The following is a 27,583-nucleotide window of genomic DNA, read 5'->3' as shown; positions in this document are numbered from 1 at the left end:
ATATATATACACAAAAACAAAACTTAGGCTGAGAAGTAATGTTGCAAAGCACACACTTGGCTTCAGTATGAGTAGCTGCTTCATTTTCCAATGGGAAAAAAAAAACAAAAAACAACCCTGAGCAGTATAGTTAGGAGGCACTGAGTCACTGACCACCATTCAATTCCAACCAGCCTCTCAATGCAGCCCTCCCTGCTTCTTGAATTCTGCCCCAGAAAACTCATCCCTGTCTAGGACTCAGCCCTGAGGGGCTGGGCTGGAAGGCTGCCTGCCCCGTGCAGCCTCTCCCACCGTAGAAGTCCTTTCCGTCCTGGTGAAAAGGACACCTTCCTGCCCGCCCACCATGTCTTCCTTGGAAATGCCAGGAAATGGGCTCTGTGCTGATCCAGCTATTTGGGAGCAGTGTCATGGACATGGGCAGAGGGACAGGCTTATCAGCCAGTGGTGTCTGAGTCTCCCGACCTCCCGGTGGGGCCTTCTGGGCCCTGCCGGCTCTTCTGTTTTCCAGAGACCAGACCTTCCTCCCTGTGGGAGGACAGGGTACCACACAGAAGCGGACAGTGACAGTGCTGTACCCGCACAGAACTAGTTTATTCAGTAGTATGGGGCATGAAAAAACAACAACAACAAAACGCTACCCTATTTACAGCAACAACCAAACTGTACAATCTGATGGTTAGTACCAAGTTAGCATCCAGCATCTTTGTATTTTTTTTAAATCAAGTCATCAGTAGTAAAAACCAGTTAAATTTTTAACCCTTTGCAGGAATTGCTGAGGGGAGAAGACGGGGGAGAATCCACGGCAGAAAAGCCAGAGGCTGGCCTCACAAATGAGAAACAGGAGCCTTTCTTTCCTGCCCACAGCCTCTTTTTCTAGCCACCTGCTCCAGAAGGAAAGTCAGTGACAAGTCTGGAATACATGCTTGGAGTAAATGGTGACTCAGATGAAAAGCAGTCGGCAAAACTGAGGAGAGGGGAGGAGAGGTGGGGAGATGATGGCCTGGGGCAAGGGGAAGGGCGTCAAGCCCCCAAGCCAGGGCTGCTGGGAACACCCAGCCTGTGATGGCCATATCAGACCCCCGGGACTGGACACGAACCCATCCCAACACAAAAAGCAAATAAATAAAACAAATATATTAACTCTCTCTTCACAGGGAGCTGGGGTGGAGTCGGGGAGAAAGAGGAACAGGACCTGGTCCTTTGAAGAAGAGAGCCAATTCCAAGAAGGGGTTAAAAATAGAACATGTCTCAGAGGCCACAGCAGGTTAGACAAAGTAGCATTTGTCTGATTTTGGGGGGTGGGGTGGGTGAGTGGACACCAGAACCCAGACTTGAAACCTGTGCTTGATTGAGCACCCTCAGGGCAGCCGAGCCAGCACTGTGTTTACTCTTCCTCCCCCACCCACATCACAGCAAAGAAGCGCAACTTAACACATGACTGGCCTGCCCGGGGCGCGGGGCGGGCACGAAAAATGAAGCACTTTTGGGTCAGCAACTGAGCAAACACCTGGGCTGCCGCGCACGGCCAGAGTCCAGGAAAAGGAGAGGGGCTGGGGCTGCCCGACCCCCGCCTGGGGGCACAGGCTCCCCTGAAAATGTGTTCATGCAGCATTTGGGGGTCCAGGGGCGCTGAGTCCTTCTGCCCCCTCACCGGACAGGGCTTTTCCAGTTCCTGGGAGAGGCAGTGCGGGCAGGACGAGGCACACCCTTTGCCCTGGCCCCTCACCGTTCTGAGGCCTGCCCGGGTGCAGCCTGAAGGGTGTGAAGCCCTGGCTGCGTGTGGCTTTGTCCTTTCCTTTTGGTGATGGCGTATGAGGGGCAGGCCCCCCAGGAGTCCCTCTCCTCCCAGAGGCACAGCAGATGGGAAACTGAGGAGAGGCTGGGAAGCATCCTGGGAGGTCCTATCCTCTTTGGGAAGGGAAAGGGGAGTCAATTTCCAGCGTATAAAAAAAATGAATCCCTGAAGTCATGAAGAGTGGAGATCCTTTTTTAAATTCTTTTTTTCCTCTTTTCTGAAAAACTTTGTCTTGGAGATGTTGGCCCCAGGGGTCCAAAGTGCAGTGAGGGGAATGGTGGGGGGGGAGTTGGCACTAGATGGCCTTAGGTGGGGTGAGTACCCCTCCCGGCAAGGCCCAGGCTCCTCAGATGGACGTTTCGTCGCTGCTGCGGGCAGGCGATGGGGAGCGGGGCAGGATAAAGCACAAGACAGGAGCAGGGCATGAGTGCGGCTGGGGAAGGGAAGGGAGCCTCGGGCGTAGGAACCACGGCCCAGGGTTAATGCAGGAAGTTAAAGAAGAGAAATCTGGAGAGGCAGGAAAGGAAAGTGGCAGAAAAGGCAGACAGAGGGTTAGTTGAAACAGAGGAGAGAGTGAAAGCTTTCACCAGACGAAGGAAACAGGAAAGCACCCCCAGCTCCCCATCCTCCCGCACTCTGCCCTAGGCTGGGCTGCGCCGCGTAGAGCCTAGGAGGGGTGGCCCTCCCCGCAAGGCACCATGGTTTGTGGGCACGGCATAGTAAGGGAGCTGGGCCAGTTCTGCCCATTTGTCCTCCAAATGCCATCCAGAGTCACCTGGGGAGGCCCGGAGGCAGCTCTGGGCCCAGGTGAGGCCTCCGAGGGGCTGCACCCCGTCCCGCCCACCCGGCCACACTCACTCGGAGCCTGACGAGTCCTCATCCACCGTGCCTGCCTTGATGCTCATGGCGATGGGCATGACCCCGTTCAGCTGCTCCTGGAGGCTCTGCCGGGGCGGTGGGCGGGGAGGGGGGCCTCCCCGGCTGCCCTCACTAGCGGAGGAGCCCCGGGAAGACCCTGTGCATTGCTCCAGGGGGAGCCGCAGGAGGCTGCTCTTCTCGCTGATGGTGGGCAGACACTTCTTCTTAAGGATGCCTGTGGGCCGGGGCGGGGCTGTGAGGTGCGGCCACAGGAGAATGTGAGGTATGAGGCTGCTGACTAGGGGAGCTCGGCAGCTGGGGGTGCCCCACTCACCTTTGTGAGGCTGGGCAGAAGAGCCTGGAAGGGGGCCTAGGGACCCCTCTCGAGACAGGGCATCTCCATTCTCCCGCAGCCGCTCCTCAGGGGCCCCGTTGCCACTACTCTCTTTTGCTGTGGTCCCAAAGTCTCCTGGCCAGGGGGCCTTGCCAGGCCCTGGGCCCCCATCTGGTGGGGAAAGGAAGTAGATGAGGCCCACAGAGGGCAGATAGCCAGGAGGCCACCACCCCAGTCCTGCTTCCCAAGAACCCCAGGCCCACTGTCCTCCCACTGGCCCCAAAGGCCACAGCCCCAGTGCTGGCCCACCCTTGGGAGTACTGTGCAGGGGCAGTCTCTCTGCTCCAGGCCCCAGCAGGCTATCCCAGCCCTGCTCTCCAGGGAAGGCGGCCTCCTCTTCCTCCTCCTCTTCTTCCTCCTCACTGTCTGATGAGTGGGTAGAGGCATAGGAGCCACTCTGGTCGTCTTCTAAGGACAGGTCACTGTCGGAGTCCGTGTCAGGATCTAGGAGGCCAGGGAGAGATCACAGCCAGCCCAGCCACCTCCACCCACCTTCAGTAAAAGCCAGCCAACTGCCCTGCTGGGTGGCCAGAGCGTTCTGTCCTCACCATGCTGCTGGTCTTGACCTTCCAGGAACAGGCTGCCTGGATCCCCCAGGCCAGGGGGCCCTTGGCCAGGGTTCAGTGCGGACTCCTCCCTAGGAAGATGAGACCATGCTGGAGGGGTCAGCCTGGCCCCTTGCCCAGGGTCCCAGTCTCTCCTCTCCCCTGGGATCCTGGTTCCTGCTGTGGGTCCCTTACAGCTTCTAATCCAAGCTGGCCCCCACGTCAGCCACAGTGTGTGCTCCTCAACTCCCAACAGCTGGCTGGCCTGGGTCCAGCATGCGTGGGCCCCTCCTCCCCTCCTCCACCCTCCCATCTCCGGGATTCACCTCAGCAAGAAGGGGATGTAGCTGGGCTGACTCTTGCCCGAGCGACTGGTGCTGTGCAGAGAGCCGGCCGAGTCTCCGTAGGGCTGGTACAGCCGCCCATCTGCGTAGGGGCTGGGGCAGTTGTAGGACTAGGCAGGGAACAGAGAGGTCAGTAAGTGGGGAGTGGGATGGCTGGCCCCAGGCTGGGAAGAAGGAGGGTGGAGGGAACTTGCCCTAAGTTCCACCTTCCACATGCTCAGGTCTGAAAGAGAGGGCCCTGCTTCTCCGCTGTCCCCATATTGAGGCCTGGCAGTGGTCACAGCTCTGCCACAGCTGTGCTACCCCTGCATGCCCCCAGGGATCCTGGACTCACTATATAATGGCTCTGTAAAAGATGAGACCAGAAATTGTCTCCTGAGAGCACCTTGGGAGACAGAAAATTTACTAAAATTCATGAGAGATTCTCAGGTGCAAGGCACTTATTACCTGATTATCTGTCTCAGCCCCATCTCCCTCAAGTCAAAATCCTACACACCCTTTCCAACATCTCCTCCCCAGGCCGAACACAGCATTTCACCTCCCCTTCCACCTTCCAGGAAGGGATGGAGAAAAGAGAAAGGGGAGTGGGGCCAAAAGTACAGGCTCACTGGGCCTCCTGCCTCTCCCTCCCTTCACCGCCCTCCTGAGACCCCTGGCTCCCTCACCGAGGTCAGGGTGGACTTGGTGGTCAGAGCAGGGTCAGGGCTGGGCTTGCGGCTGCAGGCAAGCTTGAGTGCTTTCCGGACCTCCTTGCTAAGCACCACATAGGAGAGGAAGATGAAGGGGCCCTGGCAGGCAAGAGGCAGCAACGGTCTGTGCATATTCAGGCATCCACAGCCCAGGTGCCTCCCTTCTCCACAGGCTGGGCCAGGTACCTGGATGCAATTGCAGGTAGCAAAGAGGTAGTGGAAGAGGAGGGTGTCGCTGTTGACAGAGAGCAGTGCCAGCAGCCACGTGGCGCTCAGCAGCAGGAGGACGGCGAAGGAGGGCTGCAGGCCCGAGCTGGGGATAGGGACAGGCCATGAGTCCGGCCATGAGACCTCCCATGCTGGTGCCTGCCCATGGCCCAGGCACCCCAACCCTATACTCACACAGGACCTTTCTTCTCAAAGCCCTGCCGCTGGGCAGCACAGGAGGCCCGGGCCGCCAGGATGTACAGGAAGACACTCATCTAGGCAGGGGCAGAGGGCATGGGGTGCTCAGTGGGGACAAACAGCTTCCACCCAGCCCACAGGGCCCCGTGGCCTCAGCTGTTCCTAAAGGGAGTCCTGAGGACACGCGGCCCCAGCAGCAGGAGGACAGCAAAGGAGGGCCACAGGTGACACCCAACCCACCTGCTAGCACTCACCGAGACGGCAAAGGCCACCGGGCCAGCAAAACTCCAGATGAGCGTGTCATAGATGGAGAGCCAGCAGAAGTCAGGGTTCCCGTAGCCCTCGGGGTCCAGGCCCACGGCTAGCCCTGGAGCATGGAGACAGACGGGAGCAGTGGAGGGGTGATGAGGGGCCTGGGAAGTAGGGCTGCGGGCAGGTGGGCTCACAGGGCCAGGCATGAAGCATGGAAAAGGGTTCTGCCCACCATCGGCCCCTACCGATCTCCCCAGGATAAGGGAGTGACGCCTGGGTGGCGGCTGCAGAGTCTGGGTTAAACCAGAGGGACACCTGTGAATAAGGCGGCCTGGGGCATGGGGATGTGGGGCCTCAGGGCCTGTATGTGGGTGGAGAGAACATGGCACAAAGGTGGACCCAGGGATGTGGGACCCCAAGACTGGGAATGGGTGGGAGTACCTGTGATGAAGGCAGGCACGCCCCAGCCCAGCATGTAGTAGAAGCGCATGGGGCCGGTGTTGACATCGCGCACCTCAGTGAGTGCCCGGTACAGGTGCAAGGCCTCCAGCAGAGCCCAGGAAAAGGTGCAGAGGTACAGGAAGTGCAGCAGGATGGCAATGACTGTGCAGGCAAACTGAGGGCCCAGGCCAGGGCAGGTCAGCGACCGGGGCCCGCCCAGAGCACAGGCTCTGCTTCGGGTCAGGCATGGAGGAGGGCCTGGGTGTTGGGAACTGCTTCCAGGGAAGCCTGGGCCAGAGGCAGGTGCTGGGGGATCCCGGGGGAGCCACAGAAGAGGAAACCCTGGGCCAGGTGCTGCACTAGGCACCTTATTAGAGTTCATGGTGCAGGAGCAGGGGTTGCCAGTGGGGGCTGGGGAGGCGGCCTGAGAAGGTGGGGACAGTTTCTGGGCAGTAGGAGCATCTTACAGGGAGGTCAGCCTGGTTGATTCCCAGGAGGAAGACCAGCTGAGCCAGGCCCAGGGCAGCTGTCAGGTTACGTCGGATGCCGTGTTGGTTGGAGCGCAGGATACGCAAGAGAGTGAGGAAGAAGAAGGTGAGCAGAAGGGCAGCCAAGGTGACACCTAGAGCCACGTATGTCAGTGTCTTCAGTGGCAGGATCTCCCCATTCTGCAGAGTAGGTGGCAGGGGGCCAGGGAATTAGGAAGGGCAGGACCTGAGCACCCAGCCCCGTGCCCTGGGTGCCCACCCACGGCTCTGCAGCTGCCCCTGTGGGCCCGACCTCCCGCCGAGAAACGTCCATGAGCACAGCGAAGCTCGTCATGTGGTTGCACTGGCAGCTGACGTGGCTCTCATTGCGGAAGACGACTTCACAGCCTCTGGCCGACCAGCCACCTGTGCCACTGACCCTGTGTGAGGAAGGCAGGGTCAGGGAGACAAGGAGGGTGAGGCATGCAGGGGCCTGGACTTTCAGCCCGAAGCCTGAGGGGGCGAGGGCAGTGCAGGCTCACAGGATTGAATGGTTCCAGAAGACACAGATGGGCTTGGTCCGCTCCTCTGTCTCCAGCAGGCGGAACTGCACCGTGACGGGTTTGTCCAGGGCCCGGGGCAGAAGCTCCTCATCATCATGGACGCTGATGCTCACCACGGGTGTGTTGATGATCGGGCGTTTGGGGACTCTGATGTGGGGCAGTCAGGTGCACAGTCACCACGGCAGTCACATGACTGGGGAGACGCCCCCGACCCCCTCCATGCCTCAGCACTCACCGCCCGACCCATACCCCTACCCACACCTGTCCCCTAGCTGCTGACCTCAAGCTGCGCTTGTCAGGGTCATAGTTATGAGGCAGTAGCCCGGCCAGGGTGCGGTAGATGATGACGCTGGCCACAGCCTCACCCTGGCTCAGCTCCGGGTGCCGTCGCTGTCGCCGTGCCAGCTCCTCTGGCTCCTGGGCCTCTCCGGGGCCTGCGGGCCTGACCACGGGGGGCGTCTCTGGGAGGGGACACTGTCACACTTAGCTGGGCCCTGCTCTCTGTGGAGTCTGCACAGACACTGGGGTCCAGCTCCCAACTCAATCCATGGCCACCACTGACCTCTGAAGACAGACTCAGGCAGAATGACTGTTGTCTCAAGGTCCGGGGGCTGCTCCCCACGCAGGGCCTCGTAGCGGGGCAGCTTGGCCCCAGCAAAGTTCCCTTTGTCCAAGCGCACTACGGAGATGACTAAGGAAGGGGATGGTCACAGATCGGACCTGTGAGGCAGGCAGGACCCCAGCACAGCCGCTCTTGTCGGGGACTCCCTCCACAAACCCCTCCCCAACCCAGGCACCAGCCTTACCAATGTTGGGCGTGACGATGGTGAAGGGGCTTAGGTAGGTGTGCCGCATGTTCTGGGCCAGGGCACTGGCGTAGGCCTCATAGTGCTGGAGCAGCCAGGCGGTGCCACCCTCTGTCTGCTGGATCAGCTCCCAGTGCCGCTTGTTGGCTGTGTCCAGGAGGGCGCTGCCCACCCGCAGCAGATTCTGGGGTGGGCAAGGTCACGGTGGGTGTGCTCACAACCCACACCTGACATCCCCACCATGGAGCCCCGGCCTGTGCCCGGGCCAGTCCCTGCTCCCCACCAGGCCCCTCCCTCTGTGCTCACTGTTGCCTCCCCTGAAATGCTCCTGGACCGCACTGCCCACTCAGGTCACTGGATGCTCTGCCCCTAAGCCCTCCTCCTCATTCTCTACATAAGAGCTTCCCAGCCCTGTGCCTGGACCCACACACATGTCCTGAGATACTGCTTCCTCCCAGCCCATGGTACCACAGGCAGGCCTCTGCTCTGGGTCAGACCATGCCCCAACACACATATGTTACTATGAGAAGGGTTGGGAAGAGGGCTGGGCCAGGGGTCACAGGGTTTCATGGAGGCCTCCTGCCAGCAGGGAGCTCCTTGTAGGTGGGATGGGAGGGCCCCCTCTGCCCCCCAGGTTGCCATGAGCAGGCTCACTCACCATGACCCCTATCTAACCAGCCAGCCCTGCATCCTCCAAGCCCCACCTCAGTGAAGTGCACGTCCTGTGTGGCAGACAGCCCAAAGCCCCGCTGGGTGCTCTCGTGGGCCAGCAGCCGCGTGGCCAGCTGGTAGGCCACCTTGACGTCGCTGCCGAAGTAGCCAGCTGTGTGCTGCGTGGCGTTGCGCAGGAGCAGGGCTAGCTGCTGGGAGCGCCCTGAGTCTAGGCCTGACTCATTCCGCTGTAGCCGCTCAGCCTAGACAGGACGGAGCGGAGGAGCAGGAGTGAGGGCAGGAACTCTGGAGCAAAAGGACCTCAGGAGGTGAGAGACGGCCTCTCCAGCTGGGAGCCCAGGAACACACAGGCTGGAATTCCAGAAGCCCCGTTCTCAAAGATGGGAGTGGGGGCAAGTGAGACTCAGGACGAAGGACAGGGAAAAGATGGAGATGAGGGGGTTCACTTACGAAGCCCTTCAGTTCTGAGAAGGTGATGGACGTGCAGTTGAAGAGGTTTGGGGGGAGCCACCCCCTGTGCTCATCACAGTGGCGCACAGCAGTCCCTGGGGGAAGGAAGCCAAAAGGGCCGGCCTCAGGGAGACACACAGGAAGCCCCTGAGACTGGCTGAGAGGTTCTGCTGGAGGCCAGCACCTCATGGGCCGGGGACAGTAACTAGCAAACAAGGGCCCTGGTGAAACAGGAAGACAGGTATGTAGAACACCAGGGCCAAAAATCTCCGCAAGATCAGTCCACACATGGGCTCTAGGGGAACAGGGCATACGACCTCCTTGAGCCCCCATCCTGCCTGTCTCCAGCCACCACTTTGTGCTCTCCGCCACTTCCTGCCTATGAACCTGCTCATTGCCAGTCCAGGACCAGCGCCAGCCCCCATCCTGGGCTGGGTGTCCTGGGTCAGCAGCCAACACCCCCTACTCCCCAGACTGTCTGCCTTTGTGGTGGCGTAACTCCAGGACTCGGTGGTGAGCTGACGATTGGAACCCTGCATGATTCATCTTTGAATCTCTAGCACAGCCCTATGCCAAGCACAGTGCAGGTTTTTCAGCATTTTTGTTAAGAGTCCAAGATGTGGGCTGGGCACGGTGGCTCACGCCTGTAATCTCGGCACTTTGGGAGGCCGAGGCGGGCTGATCACAAGGTCAAGAGATCGAGACCATCCTGGCCAACATGGTGAAACCCTGTCTCTACTAAAAAAATATAAAAAATTAGCTGGGCATGGTAGCACACGCCTGTAGTACCAGCTACTCGGAAGGCTGAGGTAGGAGAATCGCTTGAACCTGTGAGGTGGAGGTTGCAGAGAGCCGAGATCATGCCACTGCATTGTAGCCTGATGACAGAGCGAGACTCCGTCTCAAAAAAAAAAAAAAAAAGTCCAAAATGTGGTGGGGTGCAGTGGCTCACGCCTGTAATCCCAGCACTTTGGGAGGCCGAGGCAGGCGGATCATGAGGTCAGGAGTTCGAGACCAGACTGGCCAACATGGTGAAACCCTGTCTCTACTAAAAATACAAAAAAAAAAAAAAAAAAAAAAAAATTAGCCAGGTGTGGTGGCGGCCAGAGGCTTAGGCAGGAAAATTGCTTGAACCTGGGAGGCAGAGGTTGCAGCGAGCGGAGATCACGCCACTGCACACCAGCCTGGGTGACAGTGACAGACTCTGTCCCAGAAAAAAAACCAAACCAAAACAAAACAAAACAGTCCAAGATGTAGGCACACCTGGGCAACATGGGGAAGGGGGAATGTGAACCAAGGAAGATGGGAAATGAAATCCCAGGACCTGGAGGCCAGAAAGTGGGGTCCCCGGATCTTCAGCCAGGAGCTTCCTGCCCTCATCCCACTAACAGCAGAGGCCATGTCCTCGACATCACATCGGGGCCTCCAACACCTACCAAAGGAGCCTTTGGGACAGGGAGCAGCAGCAGGCAGCCCGAAGCGGGTACGGGGCCACCAGATCCCAGCCTCAATCGCTCGTGGGCAGCTGTCATAATTCACTGCGGGGAAGAGCACATGGTCACCCAGGAGCAGCTCTCCCTCTGCTGTCCTGCCCAGGCTCCCCAGCCCTCCCTAGGCCTCCCCAGGCCTCCCCAGGCCTGCAACCAGCCCCTTCCTGGCTTTCCTGGGGTGCAGGTGCCTAGCACACTGTAAGGAGGGCTGCCCACCCATCCCAGGAGCCCCACCTTCACAGCCATTGGTGGTGACCTCAGCAAAAGGGTTGTCACAGCGGTCACACTGACGCCCGATGACACCTGGCTTGCATGGACACTGGCCATCCTCAGGGTCACAGACTCTGGACAAGGAGCCTGTGGGGTAGCAGTCACACAAGAGGCAGGTGGGGCTGCCTGGGGGCCGGTAGTGGTTCTCCTGAGAAAGGAGGGAAGAACGGTGTCACTGGCCAGGCTCTCTTCCCAGGATGCTCATGGGTCCTTCTCAGCTGTGGCCCCTGTGGAGAGGGTCCCGACCTCAGGTCCCCTCAGGAGCAGTATTCAAAATAATTAACACTAGCAATGCTTTGGAGTTGAGCCCATCAGCGAGATGTCACAGAATCAGAACAGGCTGCAAACCACCACCACACCAGGCCAGAGCTCATGGGTTACACATTGGCCCAGGGTCCCCCTGCGCCTCAGACACACGAAGGTAAGCAGCCAACTGCCCTGCCTGTGAGAGCAAAGGCACAAGGCCCTCAGCTCTACAGGAAGACCCATCCCTACAGCCTGCCCTCTAGGGCCCAGGAGATGTGGACAGAGGCCCAAGTGGCCACAGTGGAGGCTTGCTTGGGGCTGTCACCTTGCAGTGGCACTCGCCGCTTGTCTTGTTGCAGTCTGGGTCAAAGCCTTTGCTGACATCACAGTTGCATGGGCCACATGTGGGATGTCCCCACCAGCCACGGGGACAAGGCTGGTCAATCCTGCAGAGAGGGACCCAGGTAGGCATGAGCTCCCCCTGCCACTCCCACCTAACCTAGGTGAGCCCTATGTGGCCCTTCTGACCCTGGCTGTGGATCAGCCAGGCTTTCGGGGCTCTGAGGGACACACCAGAGAGAAGCAGCAGCCACTGGGACCTGCTGCCACATGCCCTGGTCTGCTTACCTGGTCTCACAGTATGGCCCAAGGTAATTTGGGGGACACTCGCAGGTATAGCCATGGGGGGCACTGGGCTTGCGGGTACACACAGACTGGTGCTCACACGGGTTCAGGTCACACACATTAGTACAGTTGTCACCATAGTAACCTGGGACCAGAAGGACCAGAGAGGCTCATTCCCCCACCCTCCCCTGGCACCATCTTCCATCAAACCCTTCATCTGTTTCTTTCCACATAGCATCCTATCAGCTGGCTATGGCTTTGTTGTGTAGGCAACTAAGACTCAGAGAGGTGGTGTGATGCCCCATGCCCCAGGTCACACAGCAGAGCCAGCATGTGGCCCCAGGCACCTGATAACCTGCCCGTTGCCCTGGATCCTTAGCATACCTGGATCACAGCTGCAGGAATAGCTGTCCCAGTCGTTGCTGCAATAGCTGTTAGCAGGACACGGGTTTGAGTCACAAGGGTCAGGCAGGCTACAGCCTTGCTCCACGTTGATGCTCTCCCCATGGCTGGGATCCAGGCTGTTAACCCCCTCCGGCGTATCGCTCACCCGCACACCCTGGGAGGGACAGGAGCAGTGTTGCCCTCAGTGGAGCGGGGCTGCAGGTGGTGGGGGAGGGGATGGGAGGGCAGGGCAGGACACTCACCTGCAAACAGCCCCGAAAGCCACGGGCCACACCGCCGGCTGGCCCAGGTATTCCGCCCACTGTTATGTTGCTCAGGTGCAGACCATGCAGCCGGGGGCCCAGGTTGCCCTCTGCTCTCTGCTGCCCATAATCGAAGGACAGAATGGCATGGCCGGGCCCCCCGCTGGCTCCCAGTGCCAGCTGTGCATGGTGCCAGTCACCGTCATTGGCCCGGCCTGGCTCCAGACGGAGAGAGGAGGCCTGAAGCCCTGTGCCCTCCACGCTCAGCATCACGTGGCCCTCTCGTAGCTGACACCAGGAGGAAAGAAAACAGGGTCAGCAGACGGCCTTAATCACTGTTCTCCAGCTCACAGTTCCCCTTTCTGGACCATCAAACCCATCCCGCTGCCCAGCTGAGGCCATAGAGAGGAAAGCGTATTTATTTCCCTCAGGCCCAACAGGTGGCAGCATTGACCTTCCCAACGGATCCAGCGGCCTCTATATGTCCCCACCCCTGCCCAGGACCTGCCCAGCCACTTCTGTCCAGCCGCCTAGAGGCTACCAGGGCCCTATGGCCAGGCCAGGGCCAGCCGCCCTTCCATGCATCACCTGTAGGGTGATGGTGCTGCGCCCCCTGGTGATGGCCTGCAGCAGGACACCGTCGGCCTGGCGCGTGCGGAACATGAGGCTGAGGTACCAGGGTTGGGAGATGGGCAGCGAGAGGCCATGCCAGGCCACCAGGCTGCTGCCCAGGAAGTGCTGTGGATTGGCCATTTCTGGGGAGGCAGGAAAAGGCAGACTGTGACGGGTGGAGCCTCAGAGGGCCCTGGGGCTGTGATGCTCAGCGGTGGCGGCTGCACGGGAGGCAGAGCCCACTCCCCTCATCAGCCCCGCCCTCCAAAGTGCGTACCTGCCCTGGGACCGCCCCACGCTGTGCCCAGGCCTGCCTCTGACTGGCCCCTTTGTCTCCTGTGTTGCCCTTTCAGGGCTCTGCCCAGACACGCTTTTCCACCCACAGCCCCGCTCAGCAGAGCCCTGCCCAGTGCCTGCCCCAACCCTGCCAGTTCCCAGACTGTTGATGGCACCCAGGCTGTGGCCTCTAACAGCCGCCCCTCCTACCCTGGGCGCAGCTCTTGCCCCCAAAGCCCAGGGGGCACTCGCAGCTGAACGCGTCCCACTGGTTCACGCAAGTGCCCCCATTGTGGCAAGTGTTGCTGTCACACACGTTCTTCTTGGCAGGGCAGCCTGGAATGGAGAGAAGGCAGCTCAGTGGACCTGAGCTGGGGCTCTAAAGAGAAAGCCTGTGGCAGCAGTTAGAGAGGCCTCTGAGACCCTCCATTCTGGCATCCTCACACCAGGCACAGCCCCTCCTCTCAGCACTGGGATCCCAGCCTGGCTCCACCCCGGGCCCCCATACCAGGCACGGTGCCATTGTTGGCAATGAAGTCAGCCATGTCTATGTGCCGGCTGTCCACCTGCAGGTTCCGCATGCAGCCCACGAACTGCCGCATTCGGACTGGGAAGCTCTCGGGCAGGTCAGGCACCCCGCCTAGTAGCAGGGGCCCCGTCAGATCCAGAGACCTGGGGGAGCAAAGATGGTGGCGGCACAAGGGAGGGCTGGGAGCTTCTGGTCCTCCGCTCGCTCTGCCGCCAGGCCAGAGACACGAACGGCGTAGGCAGGTGTCCAAGAGGCCCTGCAGAGCAGTGCTCAGGAAGGGCGTCACCCCTACCTGGAACTGTTCTTGTCGAACACTCAGCCCCCTCCCCAGACTGCCCCACAGGGCCTTGCTCTGATTCCCCAGTCTTGACCCCATCCCCAGGGCTGAGCAGGGGCTAAGAGAGGCAAAGGGAGAGAGACCCCAAAAGCCCACCCTCTCCACCTTCCCTCCCTGCCTGGCCCTGCCCTCACTTCACCCCATCCCTGGCCCTTTCCCCTGCTCACTTCTTGCTGCCACCCTGGGTGCCCTGGGCAGCACAGGAGTAGTTGCCCAGGACAGATCCGAAGCGCAAGGCCACTCCTGTGTCACAGCCATCCACGGTCACCACAGCCACCTTCTGCTCTGATGGGCCCTGTGGGAGCCCTGTCTGACCCAACAGTGGCTGTGGACAGGAAAGAGCAGAGAAGGGGGACACTGAGTACAGAGCCCACTAGGTTCATGGCCAGCACACACTGGGTGCCTCTGTGTGCACCCACATGCCCAGACACACGTACACACATGCATATACACACACGTGTGCTCACGTGGTTTATGCATGTAACTACCTTCCTCAGTGTCCAAGTTTGCGGCTGCCTAGTGGAACAGAGAGCATCGAGCAGTGCCCAGTGGGGTGGGAATGCCCAGCAAGGTGGCACCTTCCCAGCCGCTCCCTTCCTCTCAGCCAGAAATGCCCTGACCAGCCCACCCAAGCCTGGAGGCAATGCCACTCAGGGCTGGGTAAGCACCTGAGGCAAGAACAGAACCCCCAACCCTCTGTGCCCTCCACACCCACCTTATTGTAGTATTTCAGCTGCACCGTATGCCACTGGCCATCACTGACTCCTCCGGGCACGAATGGGGACACCGTGGTGGTTGACTCCCCTGGGGAAAGGACCAGGTGAGCTGGAATGCCTGACGAGGGCTAGGAATGGCAGGGTTTGGGGTGCCAGTGGCTGGGGCTGGGCCCAGATTTGGCTGATAGAGTATGTGGCTTGGGGTCAGGGGCTGGAAGACTTGGGGCCTTTGGAAGATGGGCAAGGATGGGGGGCAACTGTGATCACCTGCAGAGAAGGTGAGCTGGACCTGCTCCTGGATCACCTCGAGGGCCACAAAGTCATGCTTCTCATTGAAACGCCCATTGTACAACAGCAACCCGTCGCGCTCCTTTGTGGCAAACCTGAACAGGAGTTGGGGATGGGGGCAGGGAATGGGGTACCCACCTGGATGCCAGCACCCCCGCCACCTAACCAGCGCAGGGGAGGGAGATCTGCTGGCAGAACCACAGGCAACTCCAAGAGCAGACCTGGCTCTGCCGGCAGCCTGCTCCACGCTTTCACTGCCTGACCTCTTACTTCAACCACAGAACAGGAGGCACCTCAGATGCCCACCAGGCCCACTCCCCACCCCCAGTGCCCAGCCACTCACGAGAGGGCCAGGGTGAAGTGGAAACGCTGGCGCAGGCCGCGAAAGGTGATGAAGGAGTGGGCGGGGAAGCTGCGCGTGGTCACCTGGCAGTAGGGCTTCTCGAAGTCTCCAGATGGGCAATCGCACTTGAAACCGCCCACCAGCAGGTTGACACAGGTGCCCCCATTCTTGCAGACACCCGGGGTGCAACGGCCTGAGCGAGCACTCACCTCACAGTGCTCACCTGGACAAGAGGAAAGGCAGGTGAGTACCAAGTACCTGAGGACAGGAGGGGAACTGAGACCCCCCACAACCCAGTGATAGCTCCCATGGCCTCCCGTGACCCTCGTAATACTCCCCAAACCTCCCAGGCATCCCCACTTCCTCTCGTGTGCCATCTTCTCTGAGACCTATGGTCCCCAGCCCTTCATGGGCACCCTGTTTGGCTCACTGAGCCGCTCTCGCCACAGCTCCACGCACTGCTCCCCTGCAAGTTCCTCGGAGTCCCCAGCACCTTCCCTACCCCATTTGGGTTTCATAAGCACAGGCCTGCTGGGACACTTGGTTGTAAGGCCCGGATCCCGGGAGCCTTCGATGTCACACTACCAAGCACACCTGGGGGTGTCCTGGCCCCCAAGAGGGTAAATGTGCACAAGCAGATGGGCCTGCAGGACAGCGGGAGGGCTGGGAGCCTCCCTCCTCCCTCCTTCCCACTGGTGCTTTTGTCCCTCTCAGGCACTGAGATCAGTTTCCCTCCCTGGGGATGGGACCAGGCTTCCACTTAGATTTGTCTGGGTTATGGAAGAGTATGAGAGAGAAGCTGGGGAGCCCCCAGGAATGGGGCAGAGGACTCCCACCTTGAGCCCTGCGGTCCAGACTAAGGACCTCTGTGCACCTGGGACATGCTGAGAGTGGGAAACTGAGCCCTGAGAGCAGACAAGAATTCAACAGAGGAGCTGAAAACTCCAACATCAGATGGGAAAATCCACCCTTCTCTCCCTCCCCATTCCCAGATTCTAGAGATAGGTTCTCAGCTCCTGTGCCTAGTGACTGGCTCTTGTTTCCATGGAAACTGTTGTTCGCCTGCTCTAACCCCCCCCCTCCCAACCCCCCCCACCATCCTCCTGGACAAAGACTTCTCTCCCCTCCCCCAAGCCCGTCCCTCCCCTTCCCCCCACCCCTAGCAGCAGCAGAGAGAAGTCAAGTCTGGCAAGTTCTGGGCAGGAAGATGCAGCGGGGAAGGAGTGGGGCCTGCCTATGGCTGCTGGCAGAGCCAGTGGGCATGGCCCTGGAGGACAAGGAGCAGGGCCTGGGCATCTAGGAAGGAAAGGCCCACAGGGAAGGGGAGCAGGGGGTGTCCTGAGAAGACACAGGAGCCTGAAGGGAGGGGTCAGGAGCATAGAGCAGAGACAGTGAGCATCCCAGGGAGCAGGATGTGTAAAGACCTTGGCTGACAGGCCAACAGGGAAGCCGCCTAGCCAGGATCCTCTTTTACCAGCAGCTGGGCGGAGGCGGAGCCATTCTGCCCAGGCCCATACAGGTGCAATGGTTTTCTGGAGCACCCCATCTCAGAACTCAACCCCCTCCAGTTCCCCCAGCTCTTCTGTGTCTTCCCCTTAATGCCTGGGGAGAAAAGTACTTGCTGCAGCTCAGAAAAGGAACTCGCTCAGTGGGGGAGAGACCAGGTTCTAGGCCCAGCCTCACCTCTAAACCGGGTGTGATGAGACCAGGAGCAAGTCACCCAATCTCAGCGTTCCCTTAAATCAAGGCCAACACCTTCCATGCCACCAGCTGTTTCCAAGTATCAAATTAATTACATTAATCCTCACAACCAACTTATGACCTAAGTACGGTCATTATCTCCATTTCAAATAACCGAGGGCCAGAAAGGTTAAGTAACTTGTTCAAGGTCACACAGCTACTAGCGGCAAAGCTGATACACGAACACAGGCCGACTGGCTCTGGAGCCAGCTCTGCCCACAATGGCACTGCCTGTGTGTCCTGTGCACAGCAGGGAGAAGCACTCCTTGCACTGCCTTCCTCAGTGGGGTGCTGTCAGGGAGCAGGCCGGATTTATGACCTCTCAGTGTAGCTGCACCTCACTCGGGAAGAGAATGAGGCAGCCGCCAGCATTTGTCCTGATTTGTGCCTGCACCACACAGTCAGCCTTCCAGGGCTGGCCCATGAGTCCCCTCCCTTGGCTCACCCGTGTAGCCATCACGACAGAGGCAGGTGTAGCCGCCCTCGCGGCTGCGGCAGCGCCCGTGGGGGCCACAGGGCCGCGAGTAGCAGAGGTCCACCTCGGTCTCGCAGTAGTCACCCGTGAAGCCGGGCGGGCAGCGGCAGCGCAGCCCTCCGACGGGGTGGATGGGCCGGAAGAGCACGGAGGAGGAGGCGATGAAGGGCGCGGAGGAGTCGAAGCGCAGCACCGACACGCAGCGCATGTAGTTCTCGCAGGGCTCCCGCAGGCAGATGTTGTCGTCGAAGGGCAGCACGCGCTGTGCCGAGATGGCCGTCAGCAGGCTGCGGTTGAGGTATAGGCGCTCCTGCAGGTCCTCAGAGGGCAGGAAGGGCGGCCCGCCCCCGGGCCCTGGCGGCTGGCCCACCGACAGGCTCACGTTGAGGATGTGGCCCCCGGGGGCGTCGGTGTCCCGCTGTACGTTGAAGACCACCACGTGGTCCGGTGGCGTGGCCAGCGTGGCGGCCACCGCCTGGATGAAGAGGCCTAGCAGTGGTGACAGGAAGCGCTCGGGTGACATGTCCTCCAGGCGCAGCGTGATGCTGTGGGTGAGCATCTCATCGGTGATGATGGTCACACGCAGCGCGCACTGGGCGGTCACGCTGTGTACGCCGTCTGTGGAGAGGGACACAGTCAGGACCCAGCCTGGGGCTGCAATTCAGCCTGCATATTCCTGCACCACCCACCAAGAAAGGCTCTCCTTTCCAACTGGCATAAGGGTGCTGAGCCAGGTATGTCACGTGTGGGCCAATCACTCCTTCAGGGCTCAGGGGATGAGATTTGCAGTTCTCTTTGCATCCTTTCCCAAAACCTTCTGTCGCTGATGCACGGCACACCTCTTAATGTTTGTGCACCTTTCCCTGCCCAAGCCACCGCTCCTGCTCCCTTCCCCCAGAGTCTGTGCTGCCTGCGCGGGAACCCTATGTTGTCTTTTTCATACTTTTCTACAGGGCCCAGAGCATCCTGAGACCCACAAAAATCATCCCCCTGCCCCCTCAGCCTCTACACCTCAACACCACGATAATCGCAACCATGGCTGTGTTCCCCACTCCCCCACAGCAGCAGGGAGTTGGCGGGGGTGGGGGGGAGTGGGTAAACTGGGTCAGTGGGCCACCTAGTCCCCCTCCCACTGAGCCCCATGGCTGCTTGGGCGCGCAGACCTGCTATCCCCATGGCAACATCCAACACAAAGCATTCTTCCCGCCCAACTCTCTGGGCTGCTGTGGGTAGCCTGGGGGGCCCCACCCCAGGAAATCCAGCTGAGCCACGTTAACCAGTGACATCATCACCCACTGCCCCATGCTGGAGACAGGGTGAGTCGGGGTGGGGGACCGGAAGGCAGAGATAGAAGGGCCTGGGCAGCTCTCCACTCTGAGACCCCAGAGCCCCACTGAGTCAGTCTCTTCTCTGGTCCTAGGGCCTCTAGCTACTCATCACCCACTTGGCTCAACCATTACACCCAAATGCCTGCTATGCCCCCAGGCAACACACTCACTTATAAACAGCTAAGCACTAAAACACACTTGCTGGTGTCTCATTCCACCCACACACCCTAAGCCCAGAAATACCATACACACCTGAATGCACATACACATGGGAATGAATTTTATTTAGCTAAAAAATGAAAGCTGGGGCCTGGAGAAGGAGGAAATGGCTTTACAGGGCAAGAAGGGATAGTCTTTTTTTTTTTTTTTTTAAGAGACAGACTCTCTGTCGCCTACACTGGAGAGCAGTGGCACGATCATAGCTCACTGTAGCCTCGAACTCCTGGGCTCAAGCGATCCTCCCACCTCAACCTCCCAAATAGCTGAGACCACAGGTGCTCACAACTATGCCTGGCTAATTTTTGTTTGTGTGTAGAGATGGGGTCTTGCTGTGTTGTCCAGGCTGGTCTCAAATTCCTGGCCTCAAGTGATCCTCCATCTCAGCCTTCTAGAGCACTGGGATTACAGGCATGAGCTACTGGCATATTCATATTTGTATTTATTACAATGCCTTACACATAGTAGGTGTTCAGAAAACACTGAGATGTGGATGACAATCTATTCAGTCTCCACAAAGAATAAACGGACTTTAAAACATAGCAGGGGGCCGGGCGCAGTGGCTCACGCCTGTAGTCCCAGAACTTTGGGAGGCTGAGGCGGGTGGATCACGAGGTCAGGAGTTCGAGATCAGACTGACCAACATGGTGAAACCCCGTCTCTACTAAAAATACAAAAATTAGTTGGGCGTGGTGGTGGGTGCCTGTAATCTCAGCTACTCAGGAGGTCCCAGATACTCAGGAGGCTGAGGCAGGAGAATTGCTTGAACCCAGGAGGCAGAGGTTGCAGTGAGCCGAGATCGCGCCATTGTACTCCAGCCTGGGTGACAGAGTGAGACTCTGTCCCAAACAAACAAACAAAACCACATAGCAGGGGGAGCCCAACTAGATATAAAAAGCAAATGCTTACCCTAGCAGTAACGGGGCAGGAGCCCATGTTTCTGGGGTGGGGTGGGAGTAGGCAAGGGACATGGGAACAAATTCTGCATCTGTGTTGTACCTACTTGCGGTGGCTGACTGTACCAGCGGTGGCTCAGCTGAAGCCGGGAAGGCTGAAAGCAGACCCCCATCTCAGCCATGTCCTCAGCCGACTGCCCACCTACCCTCCAGCCTCATCACTTGCTTATTCTCACTAGCTCTCACCAGCAAGCCTGCTTGTCATCACCCACTTCTGTTCCTCCTGCTCTCGTCTCAAAGCTGCTGCACAGGCTGTTCCTTCCCACCCAGACACCAGCCCACAGTCCTCTGAGTCTTCTAACCTGCCCTAGCTCACCTGCTCCAGGAAGCCTGCCCAGATTTATGTCATCAGGCTCTACTTTCCTCTCCGTTTCAGACTTCCCCGCACCAGGATGCTCAGCTGGCACAGAGCTCTTGTATACCTGGTATATCTGCCTAATGATTCCTTGACGGGATATTCCCTCCAGGCAGAAAGCAGCCCAAGACTCCACACACAGTGCCCATAACTGATTAAGAGAGGAGAGGGGGCAACCAAGGCCATGGAGCGGGAGAAACTTTGCCACCCCTCAGCCCTGGGAACAAACACTTCTCCCTGTGTCCCCCACCGCCATCGTCTTAGGCCCCGCCTGGGCCCCTCTCCCAGCATGTCTCTGTTGCTTCCCATCTGGTCCACCATCTGTGGCCACCTGCCCCCTCTGCTGTTGTCCCCCATCCCCAACAGTCAACCCACTGCTCTCTCCTTTCTATATCACCCTCCCCTGCCTTGACCTAGGTCACCCCTCAGGTGCAAAGGCAGGATGGGAACAGGGGTGGGGAGTACGTTGCCTGAGCTGTCTTCCTGGACAGAAAAGGAACAGCTGGGATGGCCTCTGACCCCAGGAAATGCCACCTGTGTCCCAAGCTTAGCCAGGCACACCTGGAAAAGTGCCAGGTCCCGGTCAGCCTCCCAGCCTCTCTTCCCCTGGCAGATGTGCCAGCGGAGACTGGAGGCCAAGAGGGCTCTGCTGTTCTGGGAGCTGCCCAGACCATGGACAGGAGCTGCTGCGTGTCTGAGCAGAGGAAGAAAGAGGCGAGGAGAATTCAGCCTCCAGGGGAGCCATCGGCCCAGGCTGGGGCAGCTGCAGCCATAGGGAAGAGAGTGGAGGCACAAACACGGAGACCAAACAGGGGAAGACAAAGCCTCAGGAGAGGAGCCAGCAATGGGCAAGTGGGAGAGCCGGAGAGCCGCAGGAGCAGGGAGAGGGCACCGGAGAGAGGCAGTGCTGCAGGGCTCCGCATGGGCAGGGGCGGGAAAGAAAGAAGAGACAAAGAACAAGAGGAGGAAAACAAAGGGGCAGTGGGAGTCAGCTCCCCCTCACCCCGGCCTCCCTGAACTTTGGGGTTGCCGTGGTGACTGCCTCCAAGGGTCAGGGCCGAAGGGAGAGGGTGGGGCCAGAGCTGCCGGGCCAGGAGGAGCCGTCCTGGATGTTGCCCCGAGCCTTCTCTAGACTAGGGAACCAAGGTCTAGGGCTCTGCCCTGGTGGGAGACCGAAGGCTTAATGGGGGCGCTTCTCTGCCAGTGCCTGGCCACGCTCACCAAAGGCAGGCTGGGTGTGGAGGACCAGAGGGAGAGGCCCTCCTTCCCACCTCCTTCCCACTTGTCTCAAGTGCCCAGGCACAGTTGAGGACACAGGAGCTCCAGCCTCCCTCTTCCGCCTCCTGGAGGGGAAACTGAAGTCTCAGGAGGCTCAGAACCTCAGCCACAGTCCCTGAAAAGCTCCTGCTTCCTGGTTCCTGTGGCTACTTTGAAGGGTGGGGCAGGGAGGCATCTGTCCAGCAAGGACCCTGAGTGAGGCCACGCCCTGACTCTGGCATACCCCTCCTTCCCCTTCAGGCCACACTCCCTGGGGTGGGAGTAGGGGCCTGCCAGCCTCTTCTTTTCCTCCCTTCCCTGATGGATTTGAAGGCTGCCTAGAGGGGATGTGACCTGATCCACCCCTGGGGTGCAGCTAACAGCATCCCCTCATGAGGGTCTCAGTTGTTCCCAGGCTTGGGGAAGGCACTCAGCAACTTGGGTGTGGTCTTCTCCCTGCTGCTACCTCTGGCTCCCCACAGCTGATAAAAAAAGACAGAATACTGTCACCAACCCCCTCCAACTCTCCTCCCCCAGCCCTGCTGTCCAGGGAGTCTGTAGGCTGAGTGCTTGGCCAAGCAGCAGGAATGCCCCAGCCTGGGTTCCGGCCAGGCTCCCACGCCCTGGGACTCTGTTCTCTCCTCAGATAAGGTGCCTTGGGGTCTCTGCCCTCAAAGCTCACCAGTCCACTGGCCTGTCCTGGTCCCTACACTCCATTCCTGGAGCTTGGGCTGGTCACAGCTAGCAGGAAAGGAAGGCCTGGCACCCTAAGAACAGCCCATGAGGTGGCAAGGGGGGCCCACGAGGCCTCAGCCTGCCCCCCAGCTTCATTGCAGCCCCTCCTCCAAGCCAGACCCGAACCACGGACTCTGAAAGTGGGGTCTGTTTGGACAGACAATGAGCTCTGGCCTCACTTCCTGTGGGAGCTCTGAAGGGGGAGCCAGGCCAGGCTCTTTCTGCCTGGAGGGAAAAGAATGCGCTAGACAAAGTCCCTGTCAGCCGATTCTGCAGCTCAGCCAGGAGGCAAAAGGGGCCAGAAGAGGACTACAGGGTCCTGACCCCTGGGTGGCGGCAGCCCTGTGCTCCCGTGGTCCCCAGCTCTGCCAAAGGCTGTGTGAGACTGCAGGAATATCTTGATGGGGGTGAAGGGGCCCTGGCCTCGCCTCCTCTCCTGCGCCACAGTCCTCTCTGCCCTTCCCCCAGCTCTCCTGGCCCCCCAGGCTTCCACGCGCCTTTTTTCACAATTCTTGGCAGCCATAGCCGGGGCAGCCTCACAACACTTCCCCGACCACGTCACAGGCTGGTAGACAGTGGGGGCAGCCAACCGAAGCAGCCCAGCCCAGCCCAGCAGAAGGTGGGGCCTGCACCAGCCGCCAGGGTTCCTGGGGCTTCTTCCCAAGCTGGCTCTTGCCCCTCCTGCTCTGTGCCAGGCACTGGGCAGGGAGGTGGATCTGTAGCTGCTTCCTGGATCGCACCCTACCTCCAGTGGCTGCCCAGACCATCCCCGCGAGCTACCCCCACCCCAGCGCCACCTGGGCCCTTCCTTACCTGACACCAGCACGCTCATGATGGCCTCCAGAGGCCGGTTGTTGTCCAGTGCGCGGCTTAGCTTCAGCTCACCCGTGGAGGCATTGAGCAGGACCAGGCTGAGTTCATTTCCCCGCTCAAAGCTGTAAGTCAGACTATCTGAGATATCAGGGTCATGGGCAGGTACTCGGCCAATGGCACCCCCAGGGAAGCTGCTTGAGCGATTGGTGACATAGTTGTTGAAAAGGATCTCAAAGTTGCCCAGCACTGGTGGGTTGTCATTGCGGTCAAGGAGGCGGACGTGGACTGTAGCCCGGCTCACCAGAGGAGCTGACGTGGCCTGGATGACCAGGACGTACTCAGGCCGGTCCTCGTAGTCTAAGTCTACCAGGGCTGTCAGCTCCCCGGAGAAGATGTCCAGCTGAAAGACCTCAGGGATGTTGCCCTCCACAATCTGGTACATAATCTGGGCATTGGTGCCTTCATCGGGGTCAGTGGCTGTGACCCGGGCCACGGCTAGCCCAATGGGGCTGTTCTCTTCCACAAACACATCAAACTCATCCTGCTCAAAGACAGGGGGATTGTCATTCACATCCAACACAGTGACTGTCACTTCCATAGGTGTGCGGGCTGGGGGCATCCCCTTGTCCACTGCATATGCCCGCAAGACATACTGGGCCACGTTCTCTCGATCCAGCCTCCGTAGCGTTCGCACGATGCCTGACGTGGACTCAACAATAAAGTCACCGTCTCCATCGTCGCCTCCTTGGAAGGTGTAGAAGACCCTGCCATTAAGTCCAGAATCACGATCAGTGGCTGAGATCTGCAGGACGCTAGTGAAGGGTGGCACATCCTCATAGACACTGCCCTGGTAGGAGTCTCGCAGGAACTGAGGGGCATTGTCATTCACGTCGTTCACCAGGATCTCCAGGTAGGTGGTGTCGGACTTCTGGGGAATGCCATTGTCCCGAGCAGTAATGGCCAGGGTGTAAGACACTTGGTCTTCATAGTCCAGCTCAGCCTGGGTGGTGACAGCCCCCGTGTCTGCATCGATGCGGAACTGGGGGATGCTGTCCTCCATGAAGTAGGTGATGCGGGCATTCTCACCTGTGTCCTCATCCGTGGCGCTGATCAGCACCACCGTGGTGCCTGCCGGCCGGTCCTCATTAACATTCACTGTATAGTGGGAGCTCTGAAAGACAGGACGATGGGTGTTGGCGTCGGTGACATTCACCACAATCTGTGCCGTGTCCTGCCGAGTGCCATCGGAGGCGGTAACAGCCAACACATACTGCCGCTCAAGTTTGTAGTCCAGTGGCAGGGCAAGGGATACCAGCCCACCACCACTTTGGCTGGTGATGGAGAAGCGGTTTCGAGTATTGCCACTGGTGATCTGGTAGGTGATGACACTATGAGCATCACGGTCCACAGCTGACACCGTCACCACGCTGGTGCCCACAGCTGCATCCTCATTGAGCCGCACTGTGTACTCTGGTTGGGTAAAGGTTGGATTGTTGTCGTTGACATCCAGGACAGTCACGCTGACACTGGCCGAGGCAGTGAGTGCTGGAGTGCCATGGTCTCGAGCTTCTACCCCAAAGCTGTAGAAATCAACTTCCTCCCGGTCCAGTTCAGCAGCCACAGAGATCCAGCCTGTGCCATTGTTGATGGTGAAGGGGAAGTCATGTCCCACCCCAGCAAGGCGGTATTCCAGGCGGGCATTGTCACCAGCATCAGCGTCGATAGCCTGGACATGGAGAACCAGGTAGCCTAAGGGGACACTCTCCAGGACAGTAGCCTGGAAAGGGGTGCTGACGAAGATGGGGGCATTGTCGTTGATATCCAGGACCTGTACTGTCACCAAGCCAGAGACATTAGAGAGTGGGGGACGGCCACCATCCTGTGCTCGCACCCGTAGGGTGTACTCCTTGGTCGTCTCATAGTCAAGAGGGCTCACCACATCCAGAGCTCCAGTCTGGGCATCCAGATAAAACTGTCCCCGAGCATTGCCACTCATGATGCTATAGTGCACCACGGCATTGCTCCCCTTGTCTCGATCCGAGGCTGTGACTCGGAGTACTGGGGCCCCTGGAGTCACATCCTCCCTCACCTGGACCACATAGCGCTTCTCACTAAACTGGGGGGCATTATCATTGTCATCCTCCACAGAAAGGAAAACAGCGGCTGTGGTACTCCGAGGACCCGGGTCCCGACCCTGGTCACTTGCCTCTACCGTCAGCTGGTAGGATTCCACCTCTTCCCGATCCACAGGGCCACGGGTTCGGATCACCCCAGAGCGAGGGTCGATCTCAAAGACTTCAGAGGGGCTGCCCCCAGACCCCTCCAGCAGGCGGTACAGAATATTGGCATTGGGAGGGGCATCACCATCCGTGGCCCTGACAGTGAGCACCTCATAGCCAACCTCCAGGTTCTCCCTGAGGCTCTCCTTGTACTCCTGCTGCTCGAACACAGGGTCATGGTCATTGGTGTCAGTAACCAAGATGGTGAGTGTAGCCAGGGCACTTCGTCGGGGCATGCCGTGGTCCTGCGCCGTGACCCTGAAGACGTGGGTGCTCTTGGTCTCACGATCCAGCTCCTCGGCTGTGGTTACTGCACCAGTGACTGGGTCCAGGGAGAAGAACTGGTTGGAGCGGCTATCAAAGAGGGCATCCATGGTGTACTCCAGTCGACCTGCCTCACCCTCGTCCGGGTCGATGGCCCTCAGGGATGCAACAGGGGTGCCTGCTGGCTGGTTCTCCGGCACTGTGGCCTGGTAGCTGGGGGGCTGGAACTGGGGGGCTGTATTTACATTCCTTTTCCGACGCCCACCCAGGGACTCTTCTGGTGACCTTTCCCCTGCCCTGAGCCCGGGGGCCTGTGCCAGCTTGCAGGACTGGCATCTGAGCCGTGGAGCCTTTAAGCACGGGTGCTCCTCGGGCAGTGTGAGCTTGCCCTGTGGGGAAAGGTGGCCTCCAATGCCCAGGAGGCGACAGCTCCAGGGGCAGCCTTCAGGAGCTGGTGGTAGGGGAATATGGGCCTCGGATTCTGGACACCAAACCCTCAGGCCATCGTGGTGGGGTACCAGGTGGCCAGTCAGCTCAGTGCCCGCATCCCTGCAGCGGCTGGTGTAGAGCCAGAGGTTCGACGCTGAGGATGGACAGAGCCAGCCCATGGGGGCGCAGGCCCCCGAAGAGCCTCGTCCCCTGGACCCCAAGGAACGACAGGGCCCCACTTGGTCTCCCAATAGTGGCGGCGGCAGCAGCAGCAGCAACAGCAGCAGCAGCGGCGGCGGCGGCGTTGGGAGGGGGACGCCGGTGGCCGGGCTCCGCATCTCTCCCAGCTCCCGGCCGGCGGCCGGGTCAACGGCGGCGGCGGCTCCTCCTCCGGCTCCTGCCGGCCCCGCCGCGCCTCATGCCCGGGCCAGGGCGCCAGTCCCCGGGGGCCTCCCGTGCGCCCCGCGGGGCCTGCGTCTGGATGGCTCGGCGGGACCCCGCGCTGCACCCTCCGACGAGCCCGGGCTCCCACTGCCCCCTGAGCCAGACCCGCTCCCGGGTCACCCTGAGCACCGCGGGCTGCCGCCGCGCCTCCACCTGCGCTCCGGGCACTCACCACCTGCGCCCGGGGGCCCCGCGGCGCCCCTGGCCTTGCCGGGCCCCGGGTTCCGGAGCCGGGGTGCCCCCTCCGCCCCTATGGGATCGCCCACCTGCGCCCGCGTAGCCGTGCGCCCCGACCCCGGCCCGGCCCCGGCGGCCCCCGACGGTCCCGCGCCGCCCGCTCGCGCCCCGCGTCCCCGCCGCGGCTGCTGCCTGTCGCCGCGGCCCCGGGCCCAGCCCCGCGCTCCCTCGCCTCCCCGGCGGGCGGGCGAGCTCTGCAGAGTCGCGGCGGCGGCTCATTACCATAGACCTGCTCGCGCCGCGGCCGCCTTAAAGCGGCAACGCCGGCCGCGCTGGAGGAGGTGGGCCCCACCCAGAGCACTCCTCCGCCCAAAGCGCCAGGATTCCCTCCAGCAGGACCCTCCATCCCAATTTCCCCAGGCCGGCCTCGCCAGATGCCCGGTGCGAATTAGCGATCGGAAGCCACACAGCCGATGATAATCATGGTGGAAGTACCCTAAGTATGCCTAGAGGTTTCCAAAACATTTTAAGGGCTCTCAGAGGCCAAGTTTCCAGTTCATTCCAGTCATAAAAGCCCTCGTTGCTGTCCCCTCCCATAGGTCAGACAGAGTTAAAAGGGCCCTGAGCAACACAACAAAGCCTCCAAAATCCCAGAGAAGCACCCACAATGAGTCACCGGGCCCACTCGCTCCCTACCGTCCCCTCCACCCCACCAGCGAGGCTGTTGTCTGACCAGCATGCCCCTTGGGGTCGGGCTGTTGGAAGAATGACCCCAGCCTCATGTTGGACACCACTTGGGCTTTTCCAGGGAAGTAAATTAGAAGGGTCAGAGTGGGTGGAAGCCAGGTGGTGCAAACACACTGTCACCAGATTCGGAGGCCGGCTGCGGTGGAGCCTAGCTTTAACACAGGCTTCCTGGATTCTAGACAAGGGGCTTACACTGCCCCCTGAGGTCCTGTCTAGAGAGGCGGCCTCTCATCCCCTCCTGCCTCCCTGTCCATGTCCTGCGGCTACCCCCTCCTTCCGCCACAGTTTTGTGACCAGCGAGGAGGCCTA

General features: G+C 60.0%; 1 protein-coding gene across 1 annotated transcript, besides 16 other annotated features; it reads right to left on the bottom strand.

The window, feature by feature from the left end:
- Positions 41–2,072: an enhancer, noted in NCBI's record as "VISTA enhancer hs2263". NCBI's record gives its function as "enhancer in: other[4/11]" and the evidence as "EXISTENCE:transgenic organism evidence [ECO:0001131][PMID:17130149]".
- On the bottom strand, positions 573–26,785 carry CELSR2 (cadherin EGF LAG seven-pass G-type receptor 2). Its single transcript, NM_001408.3, has 34 exons — positions 22,935–26,785; positions 17,245–17,892; positions 15,060–15,282; positions 14,696–14,811; positions 14,428–14,516; positions 13,880–14,037; positions 13,355–13,518; positions 13,057–13,182; positions 12,547–12,713; positions 11,959–12,246; positions 11,696–11,870; positions 11,315–11,456; positions 11,013–11,133; positions 10,406–10,589; positions 10,118–10,219; positions 8,682–8,776; positions 8,264–8,473; positions 7,560–7,743; positions 7,316–7,444; positions 7,034–7,214; positions 6,733–6,900; positions 6,504–6,630; positions 6,191–6,391; positions 5,724–5,898; positions 5,285–5,397; positions 5,028–5,107; positions 4,812–4,938; positions 4,602–4,724; positions 3,919–4,046; positions 3,596–3,684; positions 3,297–3,491; positions 2,988–3,158; positions 2,654–2,888; positions 573–2,302 (listed from the first exon to the last, which is right to left on the bottom strand). The coding sequence occupies exons 1-34, from the start codon at positions 26,242–26,244 to the stop codon at positions 2,275–2,277; spliced, it is 8,772 nt and encodes a 2,923-aa protein (NP_001399.1). The 5' UTR covers positions 26,245–26,785; the 3' UTR covers positions 573–2,274.
- Positions 1,341–1,360: a transcriptional cis regulatory region, noted in NCBI's record as "protospacer region encompassing rs12740374 targeted for CRISPR-SNP perturbation". NCBI's record gives its function as "minor T allele positively regulates PSRC1 and SORT1 gene expression in human primary hepatocytes and transgenic mouse liver {active_cell/tissue: primary hepatocyte | liver(adult)}" and the evidence as "EXISTENCE:mutant phenotype evidence [ECO:0000015][PMID:29097363]".
- Position 1,356: a transcriptional cis regulatory region, noted in NCBI's record as "rs12740374 G>T single nucleotide polymorphism; the GRCh38 assembly represents the major G allele". NCBI's record gives its function as "minor T allele positively regulates PSRC1 and SORT1 gene expression in human primary hepatocytes {active_cell/tissue: primary hepatocyte}" and the evidence as "EXISTENCE:mutant phenotype evidence [ECO:0000015][PMID:29097363]" and "EXISTENCE:natural variation mutant evidence [ECO:0001103][PMID:29097363]".
- Positions 10,994–11,180: a silencer, noted in NCBI's record as "fragment chr1:109807766-109807952 (GRCh37/hg19 assembly coordinates)". NCBI's record gives its function as "represses an EF-1alpha promoter that drives an FKBP-Casp9 reporter gene in an ReSE screen in K562 erythroleukemia cells {active_cell/tissue: K562}" and the evidence as "EXISTENCE:reporter gene assay evidence [ECO:0000049][PMID:32094911]".
- Positions 11,599–12,581: an enhancer, noted in NCBI's record as "H3K27ac-H3K4me1 hESC enhancer chr1:109806365-109807347 (GRCh37/hg19 assembly coordinates)". NCBI's record gives its function as "activates a minimal SCP1, AML or CMV promoter by ChIP-STARR-seq in primed H9 embryonic stem cells {active_cell/tissue: H9 hESC(primed)}" and the evidence as "EXISTENCE:reporter gene assay evidence [ECO:0000049][PMID:30033119]".
- Positions 11,599–12,608: a biological region, named in NCBI's record as "H3K27ac-H3K4me1 hESC enhancer GRCh37_chr1:109806365-109807347".
- Positions 12,559–12,608: a silencer, noted in NCBI's record as "silent region_1146". NCBI's record gives its function as "represses an Ori minimal core promoter by ATAC-STARR-seq in GM12878 lymphoblastoid cells {active_cell/tissue: GM12878}" and the evidence as "EXISTENCE:reporter gene assay evidence [ECO:0000049][PMID:35858748]".
- Positions 15,018–15,517: an enhancer, noted in NCBI's record as "H3K4me1 hESC enhancer chr1:109803429-109803928 (GRCh37/hg19 assembly coordinates)". NCBI's record gives its function as "activates a minimal SCP1, AML or CMV promoter by ChIP-STARR-seq in naive H9 embryonic stem cells {active_cell/tissue: H9 hESC(naive)}" and the evidence as "EXISTENCE:reporter gene assay evidence [ECO:0000049][PMID:30033119]".
- Positions 16,031–16,579: an enhancer, noted in NCBI's record as "H3K4me1 hESC enhancer chr1:109802367-109802915 (GRCh37/hg19 assembly coordinates)". NCBI's record gives its function as "activates a minimal SCP1, AML or CMV promoter by ChIP-STARR-seq in naive H9 embryonic stem cells {active_cell/tissue: H9 hESC(naive)}" and the evidence as "EXISTENCE:reporter gene assay evidence [ECO:0000049][PMID:30033119]".
- Positions 20,096–23,250: an enhancer, noted in NCBI's record as "VISTA enhancer hs2216". NCBI's record gives its function as "enhancer in: hindbrain (rhombencephalon)[6/10] | dorsal root ganglion[9/10] | trigeminal V (ganglion, cranial)[9/10] | cranial nerve[7/10]" and the evidence as "EXISTENCE:transgenic organism evidence [ECO:0001131][PMID:17130149]".
- Positions 20,096–23,285: a biological region, named in NCBI's record as "VISTA enhancer hs2216".
- Positions 22,511–23,285: an enhancer, noted in NCBI's record as "H3K27ac-H3K4me1 hESC enhancer chr1:109795661-109796435 (GRCh37/hg19 assembly coordinates)". NCBI's record gives its function as "activates a minimal SCP1, AML or CMV promoter by ChIP-STARR-seq in naive H9 embryonic stem cells {active_cell/tissue: H9 hESC(naive)}" and the evidence as "EXISTENCE:reporter gene assay evidence [ECO:0000049][PMID:30033119]".
- Positions 25,138–25,328: a silencer, noted in NCBI's record as "fragment chr1:109793618-109793808 (GRCh37/hg19 assembly coordinates)". NCBI's record gives its function as "represses an EF-1alpha promoter that drives an FKBP-Casp9 reporter gene in an ReSE screen in HepG2 liver carcinoma cells and K562 erythroleukemia cells {active_cell/tissue: HepG2 | K562}" and the evidence as "EXISTENCE:reporter gene assay evidence [ECO:0000049][PMID:32094911]".
- Positions 26,427–26,526: a silencer, noted in NCBI's record as "silent region_1145". NCBI's record gives its function as "represses an Ori minimal core promoter by ATAC-STARR-seq in GM12878 lymphoblastoid cells {active_cell/tissue: GM12878}" and the evidence as "EXISTENCE:reporter gene assay evidence [ECO:0000049][PMID:35858748]".
- Positions 26,687–26,746: a silencer, noted in NCBI's record as "silent region_1144". NCBI's record gives its function as "represses an Ori minimal core promoter by ATAC-STARR-seq in GM12878 lymphoblastoid cells {active_cell/tissue: GM12878}" and the evidence as "EXISTENCE:reporter gene assay evidence [ECO:0000049][PMID:35858748]".
- Positions 26,748–27,468: an enhancer, noted in NCBI's record as "H3K27ac-H3K4me1 hESC enhancer chr1:109791478-109792198 (GRCh37/hg19 assembly coordinates)". NCBI's record gives its function as "activates a minimal SCP1, AML or CMV promoter by ChIP-STARR-seq in primed H9 embryonic stem cells {active_cell/tissue: H9 hESC(primed)}" and the evidence as "EXISTENCE:reporter gene assay evidence [ECO:0000049][PMID:30033119]".

Source organism: Homo sapiens, chromosome 1, assembly GCF_000001405.40.
Source record: "Homo sapiens chromosome 1, GRCh38.p14 Primary Assembly".
NCBI classification, from domain to species: domain Eukaryota; kingdom Metazoa; phylum Chordata; class Mammalia; order Primates; family Hominidae; genus Homo; species Homo sapiens.
This window is presented reverse-complemented; position numbering and strand designations above follow the sequence as displayed.